General features: G+C 40.8%; 1 protein-coding gene across 8 annotated transcripts in view, besides 1 other annotated feature; it reads left to right on the top strand.

The window, feature by feature from the left end:
- Window positions 1-23,478, top strand: part of ATP10A (ATPase phospholipid transporting 10A (putative)) — a 192,852-nt gene that overhangs the window by 37,425 nt on the left and 131,949 nt on the right. The window lies entirely within an intron of this gene.
- Window positions 15,739-16,239: an enhancer, noted in NCBI's record as "H3K4me1 hESC enhancer chr15:26056572-26057072 (GRCh37/hg19 assembly coordinates)". NCBI's record gives its function as "activates a minimal SCP1, AML or CMV promoter by ChIP-STARR-seq in naive H9 embryonic stem cells {active_cell/tissue: H9 hESC(naive)}" and the evidence as "EXISTENCE:reporter gene assay evidence [ECO:0000049][PMID:30033119]".

Genomic DNA, 23,478 nt, shown 5'->3' with positions numbered 1-23,478 from the left:
GTCATTTATTTTATCACTTTGGGGGTTATTTCCTTAGTAATCACCTTGTGGGTTTTAATTAGCATCTAAATTTCCAGCAATGTAGGTCAGATTAATACCACCTTAATTACAGTGCCATGAAAACTTTGTTCATATGTAGCCCCACCATCCTCCCTCCACTGTGCTGGTGTTGTCAAGTCCTGTCAATTACATCTTGTATACCTTGTATGCCCATCAACATAGATTTGTAAATGTTGCTTTATGTCTTTTAAATCAAGGGGAAAAAAGAGTTACAAAGAAAAACTACCTTTGCATTTTATATTTACTTAGTAGATACTTTTACTGGTGCTCTTTATTTCTTCTGATCTATTCAAGTTACAGTCTAGTGTGCTTTCATTTCAGCCTGAAGGACTCTGTTTATTGTTTCTTGTAGGAGAGGGGTCTGCTAGTGGTGACTTCTCTGTTTTTGTTTATCTGGGAATGTCCAATTTCACCTATGTATTTTGTGTAGTTTTTGCTGAATATAGAATTAGCGACTGGCAGTCTTTATTTCAGCACTTTGAAGATGTCACCTGACTCCATTTTGTCCTTCACGTCCTTCATGATTTCTGATCAGAAGTCAGCTGTTAAACTTACTGAAGGTCCCTTGTATGACTTGCATCACTTTTTTCTTTCTTTCTTCCAGATTCTTTCTGTTCATTACCGAATGTAGGGTTTTGGGCTTTTGACAGTTTGATTATGATGTGTATAAGTTTAGATCTCTTTTGAGTTTATCTAACTAGGAATTGTTTATTTAGCTTCTTACATGTGCAGATAGATGATTTTCATCAAGTTTGGGAAGTTTTCAGCCATTATCATTATCATCATTATTATTATTACTTCTTTTTCTTGAGACAGAGTCTTGTTCTGTTGCCCAGGCTGGAGTACAGTGGCACGATCTAGGCCCACTGCAGCCTCTGCCTCCTGGGTTCAAATGATTCTCGTGCTTCAGCCTCCCATGTAGCTGAGATTACAGGTGTGCACCACCACATCTGGCTAATTTTTATATTTTTGGCAGAGATGGGGTTTTACCATGTTGGCCAGGCTGGTCGTAAACTCCTGACCTCAGGTGATTCCACTTTTTGAGACAAAGTCTGGCTCTGTTGCCTAGGCTGGAGTGCGGTGGTGCAATATCGGCTCACTGCAACCTCCACCTCTTGGGTGCAAGCCATCTTCCCACCTCAGCCTCTCAAGTAGCTGGGACTACAGGTGCACCTTCGCACCTGGCTGATGTTTGTATTTTTATTTTGTAGAGATGGGATTTTGCCATGTTGCTCAGGTTGGTCTCAAACTCATGAGCTCAAGCGATCCACCCACCTAGGCCTCCCAAAGTGCTGGGATTACAGGCATGAGCCACCGTACCCAACCCAGTCATTATTTTTTCAACTGTACTTTCTTCTTTTTGTCTCTCTTTTTTCTTTCTGGGACTCCCATTATTCATACATCTGTTTGCTTGATGATGTCCTACGGGACTCTGAGACTGTTGCTATTTCTTCATTTTTTTTCTGTCTGTTTATCATACTGAGCAATCTCAATTGACCTATTCTCAAGTTTGCTGATTGTTTTTTCTGTTTGCTCAGAAATCTGCTGTTGAGATCTTCAAATTTTTATTTCATTTATTGTACTTTTCAACTCCAGAATTTGTATTTGGTTCTTTTTTGCAATATCTCTTTATTGATATTCTCTATTTCATGAGACATTATTATCATACTTTTCTGTAGACATGGTTTTCTTTAATTTTTTGGAAATATTTATTTTTTCTAGTAACTCCAACATCTGAGCTTGCTTGGGGACAATTTTTCCTGTGTGCATGGACTTTCTTTTCTTATTTGTTGGCATGTCTCATAATTTTTTTGTTGTTGAAAATGGCATTTAAAATAAAACAATGTGGAAACTTTGGAAATTGAATTCTTTTTTTCTCCCCAGGGTTTGTTGTTGCTGTTTGTTGCTATTGTTGTTTATTTATTGACTTTTATGAACCAGCTCTGTAAGGTCTGTATTCTTTGTCCTGTGGTAGCCACTGAAGACTGTGCTTGATTATCTTAGTGGTCAAATAATGATGGACAGAGTCTCCTAATCTTTGCTGATGTTATGTGTGCATGTTTTGGGCACACCTTCAACTCTGAGCCAGGTGGTTACCTCTCTGTCTTAGCCTTCATTCCTGCTTGTGCAGAACCTCATGTCTGCCAAAGCTGAGGGCTCATGGCCCTCTCATGTCCCTTCTGAGTGTATGCATAGCTCTGAGCATGTTTATATTCCTACACATGGGTGTGGTCTTAGAGATTCCCAGGAATATGCTGGAGTTTCAAAGCCCTCTGTTAATATCTCATTCCTCAGGCTTTCTTTTTAAGATTTTGATCTGCTTGTTGTTTGCCCCACCTCATAGCCACCATCTCAGATGTTCTAAACAACTGCCTCTAATTTGACAAATGTCAAGTGAAAACGCTTTTCCTAATGGGTGAGTTCCAAGTCAGGTTAAATAAACACAGACTTGTGAATGGGATTTTCCAGGGAAAAGCAGCCTGGTCAACTAATGATAGTTCTCTGGTATGGGCTTTGAAGGAGCTCCAACCTCGAATTTTGCCCTTCGGTAGCTGGTTTCTTGTTTTGTTTTGTTTTGTTTTTCCCAGAGTGAAGGTGTCGTTCTATCACCTGGGCTGGAGTGCAGTGGTGCTCACTGCAACCTCAGACTCCTGGGCTTAAGCGAACCTCCTGCCTTAGCCTTCCAAAGCACTGGGATTACAGGCATGAACCACAGCACCTGGCCTAGTGGCTGGTTTTAAAGGCTACCTTGGAGCTGCAGTGAGGAGAGTAGGAAATACGGAAACGTAAAACGCTACAAAGCTCACTGTTCTTACTGAGTTTCAGCCATTTTTCTTGAATAAATGTTTTTGGATTGTTGCTAATATTTGATTAATTTTCAGAGACCTGAAAAAAGTTGATTTTGACGGTATTTTGCCATTGTTCTCTCTCACTGCTTTTATGAAGGAGATAATTTTTGGAGGTCCTTCACTCCACCATCTTCACTGACTTCCTAAACATAGGATATTAAATGTGTTTCGTTAAAATGCAAAAAAAAAAAAAAACACACACAAAAAGTGAGAATGTTAAAAATGTAAGGAAGAGGAATGAGTTGAGAAATGTTTTTTCTTTTTTCTATTTTTTTTTTTTTGAGACAGGGTCTTGCTCCCTTGTCCAGGCTGGAGTGCAGTGGTGTGATCACAGCTCTCTGTAGCCTCAACCACCTGGGCTCAAGCAACCCTTCTGCTTCCACATCCCTAGAAGCTGGGACCACAAGTGTACACCATCACACCCAGCATTTCTTTGTATTTTTTTAATAGAGGTCTCACTGTGTTGTCCAGTCTAGTCTGGAACTCCTGGGCTCAAGTAATCCTCCTGCCATGGCCTCTGAAAGTGGTGGGATTACAGGCATGAGCCACCTTGCCAGGCTGAGAAATGTTTTTTTCAATTACTATGTTTAGTGAAATATTTTTTTTCTCTTTAATAGTAGGAAGTGTAATCTATAAATGTTATATTCATATACAAGTAAGTTTGCCTTGTAGCAAATTTTTAGTAAGTGGTGGGGGTTGGTAAACTACAGCCCCCATTTTCGTAAATCCAGTCTTAACTGGCATGTAGGCATGCTGTTCTGCTAATGCACTGCCCGTGGCTGCATCTGTGCTGTAGTTGCAGAGGTGCATAGGTGCAAAAGAACGCACATGACCTGCAGAGCCTAATATGTTTACTCTCTGGCTCCTTACAGAAATAGTTTGCCAACCCCTCGTGCATAGGAAAGTAAGTAGCTATTTTATTTTAAATATAGTAATGAATTGGGAAATGTGTTAACTTTAAGTTTGCTTATTACTACATGGTTATTTTAAAAGCTCTAATGTCAAGAATGAATTTATGAGAACATTTTGGTTGTGGGCAATGTTATGCTATGAAAATTTTTTGCTTGCCTTATAGAAATTAAAGATCAACAATAGTTGAGTTAATTCAAGTAATGCTTTTGGTGCTGTGAATAAATTGTACCGTAACTTCCTTGGAAGACTTCTATTTAGAAACAATTTGGTCCAGTCACTTAAATCTTAGCATTTGAAATACAACATAGTGGGTATCTGACTCAAAAGCAGGAGGAATGCCTGTGTAAGGGCACTGACCCCACAGAAGGGCACCTGGGGGACGTCCTCAAGTTTTCAGTTGTTATTTGAACTTGTGCAGGCCACTTTGTTTTTCTGGTCTCAATTTTATCCTCTATTAAATGGGTGTAATATAACTCTTCTGAAAACATTGTATGAATTAAATGAGGTTGTGTGTGAATATTCCTCATGATCTATAAGAGTTGAACAATTGTCTGTACTATTACTATCATCGATACTGTTGCTAATGTGTAATCAAGATGCAGAAGAGGTTTTTTTCTGTTGCTAATGCCATTAGCCATACCATTGAAGCCAGATTCTTTAAAATATTAAACCCTCCATTAATTTAAAAACACTGTGTGCTTTCCAAGCCCAAACCCCAGTTTCTGTTTCACTCTTGAGATTTTTTTCAAAAACAATAAAAGTTTAATTTAAAAAATGTTGCTTCTTTGAATAGTTAATTTCTGAAAGTTTGTACATTGCAGAAGCATCAATAGTTCTTATTTTTTTCATGTCCTTGAAAAAAAAAGAGTTGTTATTTAGATTAAATGACTCACAATTTAGTGAAGGTAGAATTTACAATCCTAGATGGAAAGTCTAAGAAAAAATATTACATAGGAATCTAGCTTGTTTTTATTTTAGGTTGAAATTAGCAATTCTATTTGGCTAAAACTTTGACTTACTGCAGTTAAACATTGATTCAACGGTGAATTGATGATATACTGCTTTGTATAAGGTATAAAAGGTGAGGGGAAATAGTTATCTCTAAGGTAATTTTCTCTAATAATTATTTTCTAAGCAGCAGGTTCTGTATGTGTGTGAGAGAGAGAGGGGTACAGAGGGTATGTGACTAGGTTTGTCCTTGGAGTGAGACAGGTCAGGGTTTTGTTTCCACTCTGCTTAGAAGCTCATTGTGTCAATTTGGGTGCGACACTTAGGCCTTGTGCTCCTCTGTAAACTGGGAGTATTACTTGCCTCATGTAGCCTTATTGTGCGATAGGCAAAGGTGTGTCAGGACCCTGGGGCCTGCCTGCCACTCTGATCATTAGGCCAGCAGAAATGGGAGGGCAAAGCATAGGTCAGATCAATAAAATTCACACCTGTCCCAAAGTTACATATCCAGTCTAGAATGTTAATGAAATGCTGAAAAAACATAGGTTATTATTTACCATTATTTGTGTTTTCAGAAGTACTACCGAACAACTTGGCATCCTACAACATATATTTGTAAATAACACACACAGCCAGCCCTCCGTATCCATGGGTTCTGCATCCCTGGATTCAGATCTAAAAGTATTAAAGACAAAAATCACTGGGTCTATACTGAACACATACAGACCTTTTTTTCTTGTCGTCATTCTCTAAACAATACAATATAATAACTATTTACGTGGCATTTCCATTGTATTAGGTATTATAAGCATCTAGAGATGATTGAAAGTCTGTGGGAGGATGTGTATAGATTATATGCAAACACTATGCCATTTTAGATCAGAAACTTCCGCATCTGTGAATTTTGGTATGGGGGACTCCTAGAACCAGTTTCCCACAGGATTCCGTACTGGAGGGTTGACTGAATTTTCATAATTCTAAAAGGTACACAGTATTTCCTGTAGATCATTTGGACCCTAGAGTAATGTGGAAGAAAACAGCCATCATTTGCAGGATTCTTTGCCATTCAGAGCTGTTACCAATTTGGCATAGCTGTAGTTTTGTGTCCCATGTTTGTCCCAACAGTATTATGTTTCCTACGCCATGAAATATTCTGCAAAAATATGATTTCTAAAGACTACAATGTTTCTGCTCTAAAGAGTGTGACCATTGACTTCATTATTTGTTTTGACCTGGGCATAGATCCTTGTAGACAAATTTGTGCACTCTTCCAGTGATTTCAAGCAAAACCCCTTCCAAAATTGGATGCCACAGTTGAAATGCTCACCCAGAGAGGCCCCTCCCCAACTCTCACTGACACTGGGCCACCCCCTTAAATTTGATCTTTCCTTTAAGGCAGGCAAAAATGACATCTTTTTGTTTCCAGTTTTTATCTATTCAATGTTGTTTCTGTAAGGTCACTAGCCATATGCTTTTTTTGTTTGTTTTTTTTTTTGTTTTTTTTGAGACAGGGTCTTACTCTGTCACCCAGGCTGGAGTGCAGTGGTGAGAACACAGCTCTCATTGCAGCCTCGATCTCCCGGGCTGCAGTGATCCTCCCACCTCAGCTTCCTGAGTAGCTGGGACCACAGGCTCATGCCATGACACCCAGGTAACTTTTTTTGTAGGGGTCTAGCTATGTAGCCCAGGCTGGTCTTGAACTCCTGGGCTCAAAGGATCCACGTGTCTTAGCTTCCAAGCACGCTGGGATTGTAGGCATGAGCCATTTGTGCCCAGTCTGCTGCTTCTTTAAATTGCCTGTTTCTTTGCCAGTTTTTCTAAAAATTAAGGTTTTTTAAATTAAAAAGTTTATAGGATATATTGATATGACTGTAATGTATGTTTATTTTTATCTGTCAAGTATTTTTCCCACTTTATCATTACTTTCAATTTTGTTTAGAGTGTTTTTGACACATAAAGTGGAAAACTTGCATACCTTCCAATATATCAACCTTTTCCCTTTTAAGTACTTTTTAACTTAAAAAGTTCTTTTGAACCCTGAAATATGCAAATATTTGCCTACATTTATTTCTGTTTGCCTTATGGTTTTATGTTTTAATTTATCTGGAACTTTTAAATATGTATTCTGTTTGGGTACAGGTGTTGTTTTTCCCCTTCATATAATAAATTTTCCCAAGCAGCATTTTTGAATTTTCTCTTCTTTACCACATAAAATTCGACCTTTATTGTACTCTTTTTAAAACATTTTTTCCCAGACCACTGCTATTATCTTGCACACTATGCCGAACATTTATAAACATTTCAACACATAGTGGTGAAAACCCACCTCTGAAATTGTTTTCTTGTGTGTTTTCACCTATTTATTTTTCCATGTAAGTTTTAGAATTATTGTCAGGTTCTCTCCTCGACTTTGGAGTTTTAGTTGGGATTGCTCTTCTGTCAGGAGAATCAACATCAGTATGGTATACTGTGTTTCTGTTTAAGACACGGTATGTCTTTGTATTAGCCCAGTTTTCCTTTTTAAGTCTTTCAGAAAGTACTGCCATTTTCTCCATAGACATTCTGTCCATTAATTTTGAAATTTACTTCTTTAACTTTTGTAATTTTTGTGTTATGGTGAATGGACCTACCTTCCGTGGACAAACCCCTTTTCCCAGATTTTTGAGCTAGTTATTGCTGATGCAGATTGTTCATGTGAAGCTGGCTTATTTATTGAAGGTTTAAAATTATGATCCTGTAGTTCTATCATATTTTTATTTATCTATATGTATTTCTATTTCTATCTATAATACAATGTATTCCTTCCTTTAGTGCTGTTTTTAATTTTTAAATGTTTAAAAATTTGTATAAATTGAAGGGGTACAAGCGTATTTTGCCTGGGGGTGAAGCCTGGGCTTTTAATGTATCTACCACATGTATATAATGCACATTAAGTAACTTCTCATCCCTCACCTCCTTCCGCCCTCCCCCCTTTTTAAGTCTCCAATATTATCATTTTACACTCTATATCCTTGTGTTCATGTTATTTAGCTCCCACTGATAAGTGAGAATATGTGGTATCTGACTTTCTGTTTCTTAGTTGTTTCACTTAAGATAACAACCTCCAGTTCCATTTATGTCACTGCAAAAGACATGATTTCATTCTTTTTATGGCTGAATAGTATTCCAGTGTATATATGCCACATTTTCTTTATCCAGTTATCCTTTGATGGACACTTAGGTTGATTCCACATCTTTGCTACTATGAATAGTGCAGTGATAACAATACAGGTGCAGGTGTGTCTTTTTGATATAATGATTTTTTTTTTCATTTGGGTACATACCCTATCGTGGGATTGCTGGGTCAAATGGCAGTTCCATTTCTAGTTCTTTGAGAAATCTCCATATTGTTTTCCATAGATTTGTACTAATTTACATTTCCACCACCAGTGTTTAAGCGTTCCCTTTTCTCTGCAGTCTCACCAGCACCTGTTATTTGTTAACTTTTTAATAATTGCCATTCTGGTTGGTGTAAGGAGGTATCGCATTGGGGTTTCAATTTGCATCTCTTTGATGATTAGTGACGTTGAGCATTTTTCACTTGCTTGTTGGCCATTTATATGTCTAGTTTTGAAAAATGTCTATTCATGTTCTTTGCCCACTTTTTAATGGAGTTACTTGGTTTTTGTAAATTTGTTTGAGTTCCTTGTAAATTCTGGATGTTAATCCCCTGTCAGCGGCATAGTTTGCAAATGTCTTCTCTTATTCTGCAGGCTGTCTATTCACTCTGTTGATTATTTCTTTTGCTGTGCAGAAGCTTTTTTAGTTTAAGTCCCATTTCTCTATTTTTGTTTTCGTTGCTTGTGCTTTTGAGGTCTTCGTCATGAATTCTTTGCCTAGACCAACGTCCAGCAGTCTTCCCTCGGGTTTCTTCTAATACTTTTATAGTTTCAGGTCTTAGAGTTAAGTCTTTAATCTATCTTGATTTGTGTATAGAGTGAGAGATAGGGGTCCCAGATCATTCTTCTGCATGTAGCAATCCAATTTCCCCAGCACCATTTATTGAAAAGGGTGTCCTTTTTCCTGGTGTTACGTTTTTGTCGACTTTGTGAGATCAGTTGAATGTATCAGTGTTCTCTTCCATTCCATTGGTCTGTGTGTCTATTTTTGTACCAATATTGTGCTGTTTTGATTACTAAAGGCTTCACATATAATTTGAAGTCAGATAATGTGATGCCCCGGCTTTGTTCTTTTTGCTTAGGACTGTTTTGGCTATTCAGGCTCACTTTTGGGTTCATATGAATTTTAGGATGGTTTTTTTCTAATTTTGTGAAAAGTGATATTAGTATTTTGATAGGGATTGCTTTGAATCTGTAGATGGCTTTGGGCAGTATGGTCATTGTAATGATACTAATTATTCTGGTCCACGAACATGGAACATGGAATGTTTTCCATGTTTGTGTCATCTACAGTTTATTTTATTAATGTTTTGTAGTTTTCTAAAAATACTTGTTTAATATGAACTTACTACCTTTCTTTAACCTTTTTTTGTATATTTGGCTTATAATATATTTTTCGTATTAAAAACTTATTCTAGATTTAACTTGCATTAGGAGTATCTCCTATAAAGAGCAAATATTTTGACTTTTACATAGTTTGCATAAAAATCAAGTTAAATTGAAAATTCAAGTTTCCTTAGAGATCACTTTAGTGGGATTTAAGTTCAAATAAATAATAGTATGAGATATTTATGTGTTTCTAGGTTTTTTTAATATATTAGTGAATTTATATCCCAGATGTTTCAAACAATTTCCATGCAAATTGCTTTTTTTAAAAATAATTTTTTAAAAGCTAGTAAAATTTAGCAGTGGGGGGATTGTATAGTGACAGCAATGTTAATAAGTTCTGATAACCCACTACCATCTGACCAGCCAAAAATTAACTAGAATACTAAAACTAATTTCTAGTGAAAACCAAAAATGAATACAACTTTGTATATTCTCTTTAAAGGAATGTACATTGCAAACAGAATTTTATCATCATCATATTATTACATGTAATCTTTCAAATTCTTTAAACCGTTTCATCTTCACAAGAGCCCCGTGTTGTATTGTTCCCATTTTAGAGACAAGAAATCTGACCCCAGGAAAGGTTAAATAATGTGTAGAGGTGGATATCCATGTATTGAGCTGAACTGACAATTGAACCTTGTTATTTCTTTTGAACCATGGTGATGATCAGTGTCCTCCCAGCTATAATCAGAGTAGACTAGAGATTTGGGGGAAAGGAAAGAATAATTTGTGTGCATTTGAGCAGTTGTTTTCTGCACTTCTGTAAATTATTTTATCAATCTTATTTAGACCCTTTCATAGGATTAAATATGCTAAGTGAAGTTGTATTTCCCCATATTGCTAATATTTGCATTTCAGTTGTCTTTATACTATCCAAATTGGAAATTGATTTATTAAACTGATCTAATTTAAATAAGAACCTCACCTTCTAGTTGGATACAAACCACATTGTTAGAGAGAGAGGCTGGGTGCGGTGGCTCACGCCTGCAATCCCAGCACTTTGGGAGGCTGAGGTGGGAGGATCACCCAAAGTTAGGAGTTTGAGACCAGCCTGACCAACATGGTGAAACCCTGTCTCTACCAAAAATACAAAAATTAGCCAGGCATGGTGGCGGGCGCCTGTAATCCCAGCTATTTGGGAGGCTGAGGCAGGAGAACTGCTTGAACCTGGGAGGCAGAGGTTGCAGTGAGCCAAGATTGCACCATTGTACTCCAGCCTGGGTGACAGAGCGAGACTCTGTCTCAAGAAAAAAACAAAAACAAAACAAAACCAAAAAACAGAGAGAGAGAAAGACAGAGAAAGTTGCATTATAGATAGTATATTATATAGACTAGCTAAATTGTAAAATTCAGGTAGGATTTTTTTTTCCTACACATTAACAAATTTTAGGTTAGAGGCCCACACCGTTTATAGCCAAGAGTGTAAGATACAACAGAATTTTTTTTGTTTGTTTTACAATTGGATTTTTAAGATCCATTTTTATGCCAGATTTTTCTTTGTAAGCCTCTTCTTTCCCTAACAAGGAGAATAATACATTAAAAGTGGAGATCTTAGATCTTTTCACTTTGCAGATAGGTCATACCTTAAAAAATAATGTGACTAAGACAAAAAAATTATGTTTTCTTCTTATTTGTTAATTCTTTACAATATCATACCGTCTCAGAATTGAATAGCATTATCACCGACATTGCAAGGTTAGGGAAAGAAGTACACAAATCTTTCGCATGGTGGATTGTTACTTTTTAAAGAGGTATGAAAGGAATGGCAGTACTTGTGAAAATATTTTTTAAAAAGCTCTCTAAAAATTGCACAGAATTCTGTATTTCATATTTTTACTGTACCCATCACTTAACACAAACTTGAATTTATATCATATGTAGAACCAATTTTATTATTTAGGGACCGTCAGAAAGGAAAAAGTTTTTCATTTGGTTTTCCATATTTTTCCACTTTTAATTTTAAAAACTGAACTAGAAAAGCAGCTGGATGTGGTGGCTTACATCTGTAATCCCAGCACTTTGGGAGGCCAAGGTGGGAAGATAGCTTGAGGCCAGAAGTTTGAGACCAGCCTGGTCAACAAAGTGAGACCCCTCATCAAAAAAAACAAAGCAAAATAAAACAAAACCCAGAGAAGCAACATAAGATCTTTCATTTCACTTATAATAATTTTTATTGTTCTCGAAGTTCTGTTTACCAACTTAAAATATTTTAAATTCTAAGTTTCAAATATTATTGATAGTAAATAAGCAAGTATATCTCACTTTAAAAAATATTCTTAATTTTCCTATAAGTCAATTATTACTGGCATTCTAGATCTTCTACCGTGGAAATCTTTGATTTAAAAATATCTAAGTAATTTCTTCTTTTCTTAAAACTTTCCACCCTACACAATTGTCAGATTAACCCTTAGATTATTAGCATAGAGTTAGGCAAAATTTCCTTACATTTGCAAGAGTTGGAACCAAAATAAGTCAATTAAAACACAAAGATACTCTATATAAAGCAAAAATGTGTTATTCTAAGCAGGCGAGCTAGTTGCTTAATAAAGTTAGCTTTTCTCCTAAAATGGCTAACAAATAGAAACAGTCTTTTAACATTTCCAACATTTTATTTTCGTGGAAAAAGCAGTTTTTCACATGTGCAGAAAATGGAATGATTAAATAAGCTTAACAAATTTTTTTGCAGAATTCATTTTTGGGTTTGGTTTTAGTCTGTGTGATGGGTAACAGTTGCGAGAGGTGAACTCTTAAGTTTCTTTGCTCTTTAGGATTCTGCAACTTGCAGAACATCTGCTAAAAAGTAGCAAAGCTGATGCATTTAAGTTTTCCATCACTGGTTGGCATCTCGACACCCCCATGAAATAGACTGCCCATGCACTGTATAGATGCTATTTTTAAAGTGTCGGGAATAGACTCTTGAGGCAGATAGGGAGCTACCGTTCATCCTTTACACAGTGAGAAGTCTGTGCACATATAAAATGAGAAAACAGGCTTAGAGTGTGTGAGCAGCCTGCCCGTGGTCACATCCCAAGAAGCCCATGCATGTTCTGAAACTGGAAGTCACGTGAAACATTTTGAGCACTGATGATCTCCCTTTATCAGTAATTTCAACTAACTGGGTTGTTTAAGTGAGTAGGCATTTATTTGTGGTTTTGTTTTTCTTATGATGGAGAATAGTAGTCGGGTTTCATGGAGCGTAACTTCTGAGTGCCTGGTGGTGTGATGTCGACCTGGTAGTAGGGGATGGAGGGAGATCCATCTAATCAAGTTGATTTTAACAACCAGCAGGACATTCTGTTGGGCATCTTTTTCCTTAAAAGGACATTCTGATTCTTTGAGAGAACCTTCCTGTGTATACATTCTTCATAAGCCAGGTGGATTTTTCGTATTTATAAGGTACACACCATACACAAAAATGCATGTGTTTGTGCATTTTCTCACTGGCTTTTCATCATTGGTGCCAGGCTGTGACAAGCTTTGCAGTACCAGACTATGTGGCTGGCTCTGCCTTTTTCTTCTGTCTGTCCTCAGATTTGGAAATAAAAGGTGTTTGCACTTTTTATACGCCAAATGACTTCCCAAATGAGACAGAACGGTTCCAAGGGCAATGCACGGTAGCTTAAGTTAACTTAAAGAAGGCTTATTCACTTGTCTTTAGAAGTAGCTGACTCCCACCTGCCCAGCTTCCCAGCTTTAGGACTGTGGGGACTCCAGGGATCACAATGAAGTGGGCATATTCCAGAGCGATTTTGAAGAAACAGAGGAAGATGAGGTTCCTGTCATCACGGATGGTACTGAGGAAAAGGGCAAATGGGATTTGGATTCCAGTCCCAATCACGTTGGTCTGCAGACATCATTGGTGGAACCAGGCAGAGGGGCATCTTTGCCATTTCTGGTGAGTTTCATTCCTTGTGTACACGCAGATTTTGTCTGGCATCATTTTCCTTCTGCCTGAAGGACTTCGTTGAACATTTGCCATGGTACAGGTCTGCCCATGATGAATGTCTTTGTTTAAGTCTGAGCAAGTCTTTATTTTTCCTACGTTTTTAAAATACATTTGCACCAGTGCAGAGTTCTAGGCGGGCAGTTTTCTTTCACTTCCTGACATATGATGCTCCTCTGTCTTTTTGCTTCATTGTTTCCAATGGGACATTTGTTATAGTTCTTACCTTTACTTCTCTGTATATATAAGGTATTAATATTTTTTTCTCAGTTTTCAAGATTTTTCCTATCATTGATTTTAAGCAATTTGAATATGGTGAGCCTGGGTGTAGTTTTCTTCTTGTTTCCTGTGCTTGGGGTTTACTGAGTGTTTTGAATCTGTGGCTGTATGGTTTTCAGTAAATGTGGAAACATTTTGATCATTATTTCTTTAAGCATGTTTCTCTGTTTCCCACCGCCCCCCAAACTTGAATTTACAGATAGATTAGGCTACTAGAAGTTGTCCCATAGATTACTGATGTACTTTTCATTTCCTTATCTTTAAAAAAAAAAGTCTGTTTCATATTGGATAGCTTCTATTGGTTTGTCTTTAAGTTCACTAACTTTTTTTTCTTTCGTGATGTCTAATCTGTCATTAATCCCATCAGTGGGTTTTTCATCTGAGACATTGTAGTTTTCAACTCTAGAAGTTCAATTTGGATCTTAAAAAATTTTATTTTTTAATCCATTCCATGTCTCTATGTAACTTAATCTTTCCTCTAGCTTCTTGGACACAGGGATATTTCACAAGTGTTTTATCTGCTGTCTATTCCTTTTATCATCACTGCCATTCCTGGATCTTTTTCTATTGATTGATGCTTTGTTGTAGGTTGTGTTTTTCTGCTTCTTTGCATGCCTGCTTTTTTTCACTGGAAATCTAACATTGTGAATTTCACCTTACAAAGTGCTGGACATTTTTATGTTCATATAAATATTCTTGAGCTTTGTTCTAGGATGCAGAGAAGTTACTCAGAACAGGTGGGCCCTGTGGAGGCTTACTTTTAACCTTTCTTAGTTGGGATCAAAGCAGCCTTTAATCCAGGCATTTTCCCCTAGCGCTGAGATAATACCCATCAGATTACTCTACCTGATGACCTGTGAATTTCTACCTTAACTGGTGAGATCAAGGACTATTCCTGGATCTTGGTGAGCTCCAGATAAACTTTCCTTTGCTTTTACCATTGGGTCTTTCCCTGAACTTGGGGAAGTCTCCTCACATGCATGTACTGATCAAGCCTCAGCCACAATCTCAAGGGTACCCTCCAGAGACAACTAGAGCTCTCCTTCTGGGGCACTGCCTTACAAACTTCATCTGCCCGTGTCTCCGTGGGGCTCCATTCAGGGCGCCTGCAGGCTCTGCCTGGCTCCTCAGATGATGAACTGGGACAGAGAGCTCACCTTGTTTTGCCTTATTATAGGATAATTGTCCTTCATTCCTGTGTCTAAAAATCATTTCTTAACATGCATTTCTTACTTATTTGATGCAGAAGAGTAAATCCTGCACTGCACTTTTATTCTATCTTAGTGAGAAGTAGAGGTTTGTAATCACTTTCAAAGTGAAATCACACTTTGTCCTTCTAACAATCCCACTCAGAGATCAATAGTGTGCTTGGCCACCCTTCCACAGCCAAGAGAGAATAATCATGCAGTGCTTCAGAATACTGTATTCCCCTGCGTTCAGAGAAAAACAGAGACAGCCCAGTAACAACAACAACAAAAATAGCTTGTTTTAATTTAAAGTAGAACAAAATGAGTATTTTTTCCTTTGTGTTTAAGTCAGGTCGATTGTAGATAAATTAAAGGGCTTTGATATCATCAGCAAAGCATTCTTACCAGCTCAGGAACAAATGCAAGTGTTCTTGGAAAAGGTTTGTGGGTGTATTTAGGGCGTCCTTGTTATTTTCCCTCGCTTTGAATGAAAAAAGAAACTTATTTATTTTTATAGTAATGTTTCCTCAAAGTGATTGTGTAGCAACCATAGAACATAACACTCTGTGTTACAAAGTAGAAACAAATAGAGCTTTGTACTTAGTACAGGTCATGATATCCAAACTACAAAAGTCTTTTTAACAGGGTGAGGATCTGAGTGAGAGGTTCCTGTTTCCTGACTTGTTATTTTGAAGTGTGATTGATACTGTGCTCTTCACCAGAGAAAAGTCAGAAACTAAGGAAACTGTTAGCAACAAAAAAACTAAACTAAAAGTCATTTTGGTTGATTTAACTCCAAGGCGTCAGTTTCTTAGAGTGCCAAACCCAAACCCTGGCTGCCATCTTTGCCGCTATAAACGTTCACTCCATTTTAGGGGAGCGTGTTTGCGCCATGTAGGGTGGAACGGGGAGCGTGCGCTGGGTGAGAGCCATAGCAGTCTCTCCGTGATGCTTCTGCACCAGCTGGGGCTGGAGCGCTTTGCCCACTGGCAGCTTCCAGCCGTGTGCCTCGGTTTCCTCTGGCATCGGGGTGGGTGTGAGCTGTGTTGGCCCTTGCAGAGTGGAGAGCAGTCCATGCAGGTGCAGCCAGCTTGGACAGGTGCGTGATGGGAGGACAAGCCCACATCCATCTGGACGAGGAAGTGCTACGAGGTCAGGCTGGGTCAAACCTTGGTCTCCTTGCCACTGATAAACCACCATGCATGGTCCCTGGACTCTTGACGCCTGTGGTGTCTCTGGGCTCCCAGCGTTTTCTCCCCACAATCTCACAAGTGGTTTTTCACTTCCTTCTTGTAAACTTTCAGATCACGTCCCACCTATGCACTGGTCTTGCTACAAACACTTACCAAATAGTAGAGGGGAGTGTGCACTCCTCTAACAAGAGCTGCGTTGGATGGGCCCATCCACAGAAAGCCGGGAGGGATGCCCGGGTGTGCAGTTTCCACATGGGGAAGTCATTGGAAGGCTTCTAGCATGTTCCATGCCATTTGTTTTGTCTCCTCATCCTTACTTCTTGTTCCTTTTTTTGTTTCCTCCTCTCCTTTCTTCTCCCAGCTCTGCCTTATGTCTTTGGGGATCCTTCACTCCCTTGATGGCCTAGAACTGGGCAGAAAGAAAAGTTTGCCTCTGTCCTCCTCTTTCCTCTCACTCACTCCAATCCCTTATCCGCAGAGAGCCTGCTGGAGTCCAGGGAAGTCCGTTTCTGCTGGGGACATCCCAGCCTCCGCCTTCTGGGTCCGGGCAGTGCCCCTGGATACTGACTTCTCCCTCCCTGTTGTGTCCCACCTCGCGCTGAATCGTCCAGGACCTGTTTTGCTATTTTGTCTGGGGACTTAAGGCTGTTCATGGGCTTTAATCAATGCAAGGAAGTAAAATTCCTGCCAAGCTGCCCTTAAGGTCATCTGGGGGAGACCCCGCCATGTAACATGATCCTCCCGCCTCCTTCCAGCCCCAGCTTCATTATATGTAAAGCTAGGCTTCTGCTGACTCTCAGATCAGACCGTCCTGGCTTTGTGTGCCTTTGTAAGGCTGTGGTTACACCTGAGGATCTCGGCTGCCCTCCTCTTAGCTGTCAGACGTAGTTGATGGTGCTTGGGTCTTGGCTGCACCTCACCTTCCTGGCTCTGAAAATGAGTCACTAACCACCTCGATTCCTCGTGTTGGAATCCCTGGCGTGCTATTTTCCGTGGGAGGCTTTTACTTTTAGAACCTGGGCAGCCCTGGGCTCCTCGTCCTGCCCAGGGCGGTGCTGGCTCGTTTTTCAGACCGTGGTACAAACAGGCCTTGTTGATCTTGTGCCTTTTGTAGGCAGGTATGAGGTAAAGCCCTGGTGGATATATAACCTGACTTTAGTTTGGCTACTGCTTTCTTTGACCGGCTTTTACCCGTGTGTGTTTTCAACTTTTGCAAAACAGTCCCCGTGCCCAGAGTCCCAGTGGCACTGCTACACTTGGAAAATAAGCAACTAAACACATGATGCCCATTCCTAGGACATCCTCAGATTTAAAGGAACCATAAGAACCTCGGGCTGGGCTGGAACTGCTGATAAGCAGTGGTGACAGCTGAGCGGTGCAGGTACCTAGGGCTTGGTCCCGGTAGGTGACTCACAGAGCTGTCCTCCCTGTGGGCTCTGCCCTCTCGGGTGACCAGGGACAGGGAACGTTAGGGGATCTTAAGCCAGGCCCTTGGGCTTTCTGACAGCAGATCTTATTAGAAGGTCTGGGGGGAAATGAGGAGCATGAGAATGGTTTTCCTGCTCTAGCCCCGCATCCATCATCTCCCCAACACGTCCCCACTGTGGGTCACTGGGAGTGATCAGGAAGTGATGTGGAAACCCTCAGCAAGGGTTCTAGTTGCTAGGTGATGAGCCTAATGTGTAAGACTAGGTTCCACTATGGACGTTCCGTCATTTTTTTTTTTTTTGTAATGACCTTCTTCCCGTTTGGATGGTTCACCATGCATGTCCCAGATTTTCTGGAAGTGCTTGTAGCTCTCCAGCTTGGGCGACTTGGAACCTGTGACTACCAGGGCAGGCCACTTCTTCATGGGTGACCCAGGCAGCAGCGGTCCAAGGTGGAACTGAAAATGAAGGTTGTGGGAAACAGGACTAGGTGTCTCCAGTCCCTTCCTCACCTGTCATGTGTTTTAGGATCTTCCCGTGCTTAAGTTACAGTATGTTGCTGGAGACGAGAGATTAAATGCAGGAGTGGGGTTGTCTTCCTGCCTTCCCAGCCCGTCTGTGGGGAACAGCACTGTTCTCAGGCACGTAGTACATATATGGAACCATGAGTGAGTTTGAGATTTTCTCAAGAAGAAAAGGAAAATGAATAAAAACGAAGGGTTTAAAGCAGAAATTGAATAATGTATTACTTTGAAGATAGGCTTTACAAAAAGAATATCATTCTTGAATAAAGTAAATTTGCCCTGTTTATTCTTAAAAGCTCACAGCAAATTTTTGATGAAGCAGATGGATTTCTTAAATTAAGGTTTGATACTCCATTTGATTTTTTCCTTCTCTGTGATTTTAAAATAAAATTTATTCCTTAGAGAAAATCAGAGTAAAATGCATGTTCTCCATTCCTCCACCATGCAGTAAGCCGTGTCTGAAGGTTTGGGGAGTGCATGCCTGGGTCATGTCTCACCCCGCCCGACGTATGCTCCTCTCTCCCATCTCATGGGCTCTTCATGTGACATCCTGCAGGGCCCACCCCACCCCACACTCAGTTGGGCTCTTTCTGGTGGTGGCTTCATCCCATCTGCGGCCACTGGGGAGCCCTGACCCACAGTGTAGACTCTTCCATCCTTCAGGAAGCATCTGCAGGGCTCAGGTTTCAGGGACACAAGAGGGACATTCTCACTTAAGCATCATGTCCCCTCTCCCAACCCTGTGGCCCCTCTTCCATTAGACCCTTACTGCCTGTACCTGGCTTCTCCACATGCCCCACCTTCATCTCGTGGCCACGCAGTGAGAGCATCACACCCTCCCAACTACGTCCAGTCTTCCCTCAAAGCCTGGGGAACCTTGCTCTAGTGTTAATGCCTGTCCACCTTCCCCACCCTCTAATCCTAAACTCAAATCCCACCTCACTCAAGGAGCTGCTCCAGGTTCCCTCAAAGAATGTATGGCATTTGGCATAAAGTTGGTATACTGGCACAAAGATAATATAGATCCAGGTCAGCCACCCAATGGGGGAAAAGAGTGGGGTAAAAATACCTGAGTTGGGAATCAGTAGTTACTTATAAAACTGTTCTCAGCCAGGCACTGTGGCTCACGCTTGTAATCCCAGAACTTGGGGAGTCCGAGGCGGGTGGATCACCTGAGGTTGGGAGTTCGAGACCATCCTGACCAACATGGAGAAACCCCATCTCTAGGAAAAATACAAAATTAGCCAGGCGTGGTGGCGCATGCCTGTAATCCCAGCTGCTCCGGAGGCTGAGGAAGCAGAATAGCTTGAACCCAGGAGGCGGAGATTGCAGTGAGCCGAGATTGTGCCATTGCACTCCAGTCTGGGAAACAAGAGCAAAACTCTTATCTCAAAAAACAAAACAAAACTGTTCTCACACCTGCAAAATGAGGTAAACTGGAGCATGTTTCTATGAGAGCTGTTGTGACTTGTGTTGAGGTAATCCTTCCTTGCTCTTCCTCATGTGACCATTAATTTATGGCCAGCTGCTTAATCTAAAATTCCCTGCAGGATAGTAAACCCATGATGAGACCTTGACAAAAGACAAATGCAACAATGAGAACAAGCCTTAGACCCAGAAAATAACCTTGAGGAACAGGGAAGATTCATGGCAATGCTGTTTTCATATTGCAAAATTAAGGACGTTTATTACGTCCAGCATGAAAACAAAGAGTTAAATCTCGAGGTGTGTTCTATCAGCCAGTGATACGTGTGTCACTTTTGAAAAGTAAATATGACAGATTTAACTTTAAATATTCTTTCATGATTGCTTATTGTTTTTTTTTTCCTACTGGTATGTTCTACTGTGGTCTTCCTCAAAGAAATCGTTCAATTGACCTTCACCTCCACTACAAAACAGCTGCAGAATTCATAAGGAAGTTATTTCAGAGCCCCGGTTGTCACCAATACATGTTGGGTTTTTTTTTTCTTTTTCTTTTTTTTGGCCGGGGGGATGGAGTTTCACTCTTGTCACCCAGGCTGGAGTGCGGTGGTGCCATCTCAGCTCACTGCAACCTCTGCCTCCCAGATTCAAGCAATTCTCCTGCCTCAGACTCCCGAGTAGCTGGGATTACAGGTGTGCACCACCATGCCCAGCTAATTTTGTATTTTTCATAGAGGCGGGGTTTCACCATGTTGGCCAGGCTGGTCTCGAACTCTTGACCTCAGGTGATCTGCCCGCCTTGGCCTCCCAAAGTGCTGGGATTACAGGTGTGAGCCACCACACCCAGCCCCATGTGTTTTTCTTTTAAAAATATTTGGTGAATGACAACTTCATTTAAAATTGTTATTTCACAGGGAGTGTTCAGCTGTCGTCACAAGAACTTTCAAAGCCTTCATTCATTGAGCTAGCGAAGCTCACTTTAATATATCTTGAGGCCCCTGTGGCTGGACACAGAGGCAGATGGCCTGAAGCCAGCCCCTAGCCGCAGAAGGGTGGGCAGGAAGGCCCCTGGGCTGGTGGGGGGCCACCCTGCTGGCTGCCCCACCTGCCTGGGGTGGGGTGCTCAGGACAGGGTCGAGCAGCCAGTGGTGCTCCAGGTAGGAGAGTGGATGACATTGGAGCAGATGCTTGAAAAACGTAAGGATGCCACCAGGGGAGAAAAGAGTGAAGGATGTTTTCCTCATCTCACAGCCATCACAGCCATTCCTTAAAAGCCATGAACTTCTCACTCCTTGCGCTTGTGCTCTGTTATTGCTCCTCCAAAGCTGCTCTTTCCAGCCCGGTGGATGCCCCTCCGTTTGATGGAAACACACGTGTGAGTGGAAGCGTAAGCTGAGGTCACAATGGTGTGATCTCCACATACTAGAGAAAAATACATTCCCTTCAGTTTCTGGAGAAAGGGAAGGAGTTATAGTTTGAAGTAAGTCAACATTTATGGTGGAGAGGAAGAGAAGTAAATGTACAGCTGACTTTTGAAAATGCTTAAGGGTGTTAACCTTTAACTCCCTGCACAGCCGAAAACCTGTGTTTGACTTTTGAGTCCCTGAAACTTAACTGCTGATAGCTTACTGTTGACCGGAAGCATTACCAATCACATAAACAGTCGATTAACTCATATTTTGTACGTTAGATGCATTATATACTGTGTTATTACAGTAAAGTAAGCTAGAGAAAAGAACATGTTATTAAGAAAATCTTGGCTGGGTGCGGTGGCTCACACCTGTAATCCCAGCACTTTGGGAGGCTGAGGCGGGCGGATCACGAGGTCAGGAGATCGAGACCATCCTGGCTAACACCGTGAAACCCCGTCTCTACTAAAAATACAAAAAATTAGCTGGGCGTGGTGGCAGGCGCCTATAGTCCCAGGTATTCGGGAGGCTGAGGCAGGAGAATGGCGTGAACCTGGGAGGCAGAGCTTGCAGTGAGCAGAGATCGTGCCACTGCACTCCAGCCTGGGCGACAGAGCAAGACTCCATCTCAAAGAAAAGAAAAGAAAATCTTAAGGCAGAGGAAATACATTTACTATGCATTAAGTGGAAGTGGATCATCATACAGATCTTCATTCTCGTCATCTTGATGTTGAGCGTGCTGAGGAGGAAGTGGAGGGCATCTTGCTGCCTCAGGGTGGCAGAGAGGTGGAGGAGGTGGAAGGGGAGGCAGGAGAGCCAGGCACACTTGGTGTAACTTTTGTTAGAAAAAAACCACATGTATATGGACCTGTGTAATTGTGGCTGTTTCATGTAGTACGTGGAATGAATGAAAAAATCACTTGTTTGATGCATGACCAAAAGGATATTTAATTTTCTGCATTAGAAAATAAAAAGTGCTAAAAATTTGGCAGTTTTCTGTTTCTTCTCAAGGTTGTAAGGGGCTGCTTATAATCATTAAGGTAAATGGCTTGGGAAAACTATTCCAAATAAATGGCAGATGTGCCTGCCATCTTTGATTTCAAAATACATTTTCCTTTAGTCTCTGTTTGGGAATTGTGGGAATTACAGGTTTACTTTTTCTTTTCTTTTTTTAAAGTAAAGGCAAGACCTTGTTTTCACAAAGCCAATTATAAAGTGTTTGGCATTCCCTAGACTTAATTTTGGGGGAAAAAAATAGCACAGCCTTTGTGTTTCACATATGGATTCAGCATTTCTTCATGTTCTTCCCATGTAAGACAGACACACCCCTCCAATCTGAGGGCCCAGGAAGTGCCAGAGAGGAATGAGACCTGCGTTTGTTTGGCTGAAGACTGTGACTTTTATCTGAGACCTACTTAGATTTTAGTGCATTCAGTTCCCCATCAAAATATATAAGTAGCCAATTCATTTCTGTTCTCACTCAGAGATAGCACAAAAATAAGGACGCGTGTAAAGTGTGCTGCAGTGAGTGGGTACATACATTGCTAAGTGCTGCCATTGAAAAAATTCATTGTGGCAAAGGACCTTTTTTCAACAATGAAGGCAGCATCTCTTTTCCTGGATCGAGACCCGTAGGCACAGTGAAGGAACTTGGAATTGTGTGGCTGGTGGCGTGGCTCCAGTCCCTTGGAGGGACCGGCTGCCACAGACCAGCGTGGGCTCCTGGCACACAGTGAGTCACCCGGATCCAGCCAGTCATTCAAAAACAAACTTGAGAAGGATCACTGGGTGCAGCTTCTCTACACGTGGCAGACAGGGGTCCCATAGGCTGCCGGGGCCCCGTGTGTGGATGCTGGACTGGCTTCTCCTGGAAGAATGCCCGTGTGATGGCCCGTCCGCTCACCATGGCTGCCACAGGTCCCATTCTGGCAATGCGCCTTTTATTTCAAAAGAATTTTTCCTTTTCCTCCACACCCGCCTTTCTGTTTTCCAAACGAAGAGCCTCCACCTACCCAGGCTTTATTATAATTTAAGTAAATCTAAAATGCCAATGTTTAAAATTTCTCACATTTCTATCATATTTTATTTTTTACTTCTAAAAGAACTTTCATATCAATTTTTTCAACTATTCAACAAACACTTATTTGAAATATGTTAAATATTCAGCAAAGGCCTACTTTGTGCTGGAAGAATTCTCATTCGATTCTTAAAGACTGTGCTGAGAGGTGACTGGCCTACTGTCGTTACCGCATTTCACAGATGAGACGCCTTGGGTTCAGCTCACAGGAGTGAGATGCTTTTCCAGGCACCTGTGTGGAGTGGGTGGCCGGGTGGACCTGGACCTGGACCTGGCCACCTGTTTAAGGCCTCAGCTCTTTCCACTCTACTCCACTGCCTGTCATTTGTCCTTTCCGTGTTTAGCCATATGTGCTCATTCATGCATGTACACACACGTCACACACACACAGACACACACCACACACATACATACACCACACACACACCATGCACACAGACACACACACCACACATACACACGCAGATGCACACACACCCCTACCCGCATATGCACTCACACACACCATGCTATGTACTCACAAACACAGCGTCACATCATAAACACCTCATATCACACACTAAGCACAATTAGACACACACGAACACTCACACACCACACACTCACATCCATAACCACACACACACCATGCACATAGACACACACATCACACATATAGACACACACACAGATGCACACACATACCAAGCTACATACAA

This window comes from Homo sapiens, chromosome 15 (genome assembly GCF_000001405.40).
Source record: "Homo sapiens chromosome 15, GRCh38.p14 Primary Assembly".
NCBI classification, from domain to species: Eukaryota; Metazoa; Chordata; class Mammalia; order Primates; family Hominidae; genus Homo; species Homo sapiens.
Note: the sequence above shows the minus strand (reverse complement) of the source record. Positions and strands in the feature narration are given on the sequence as shown.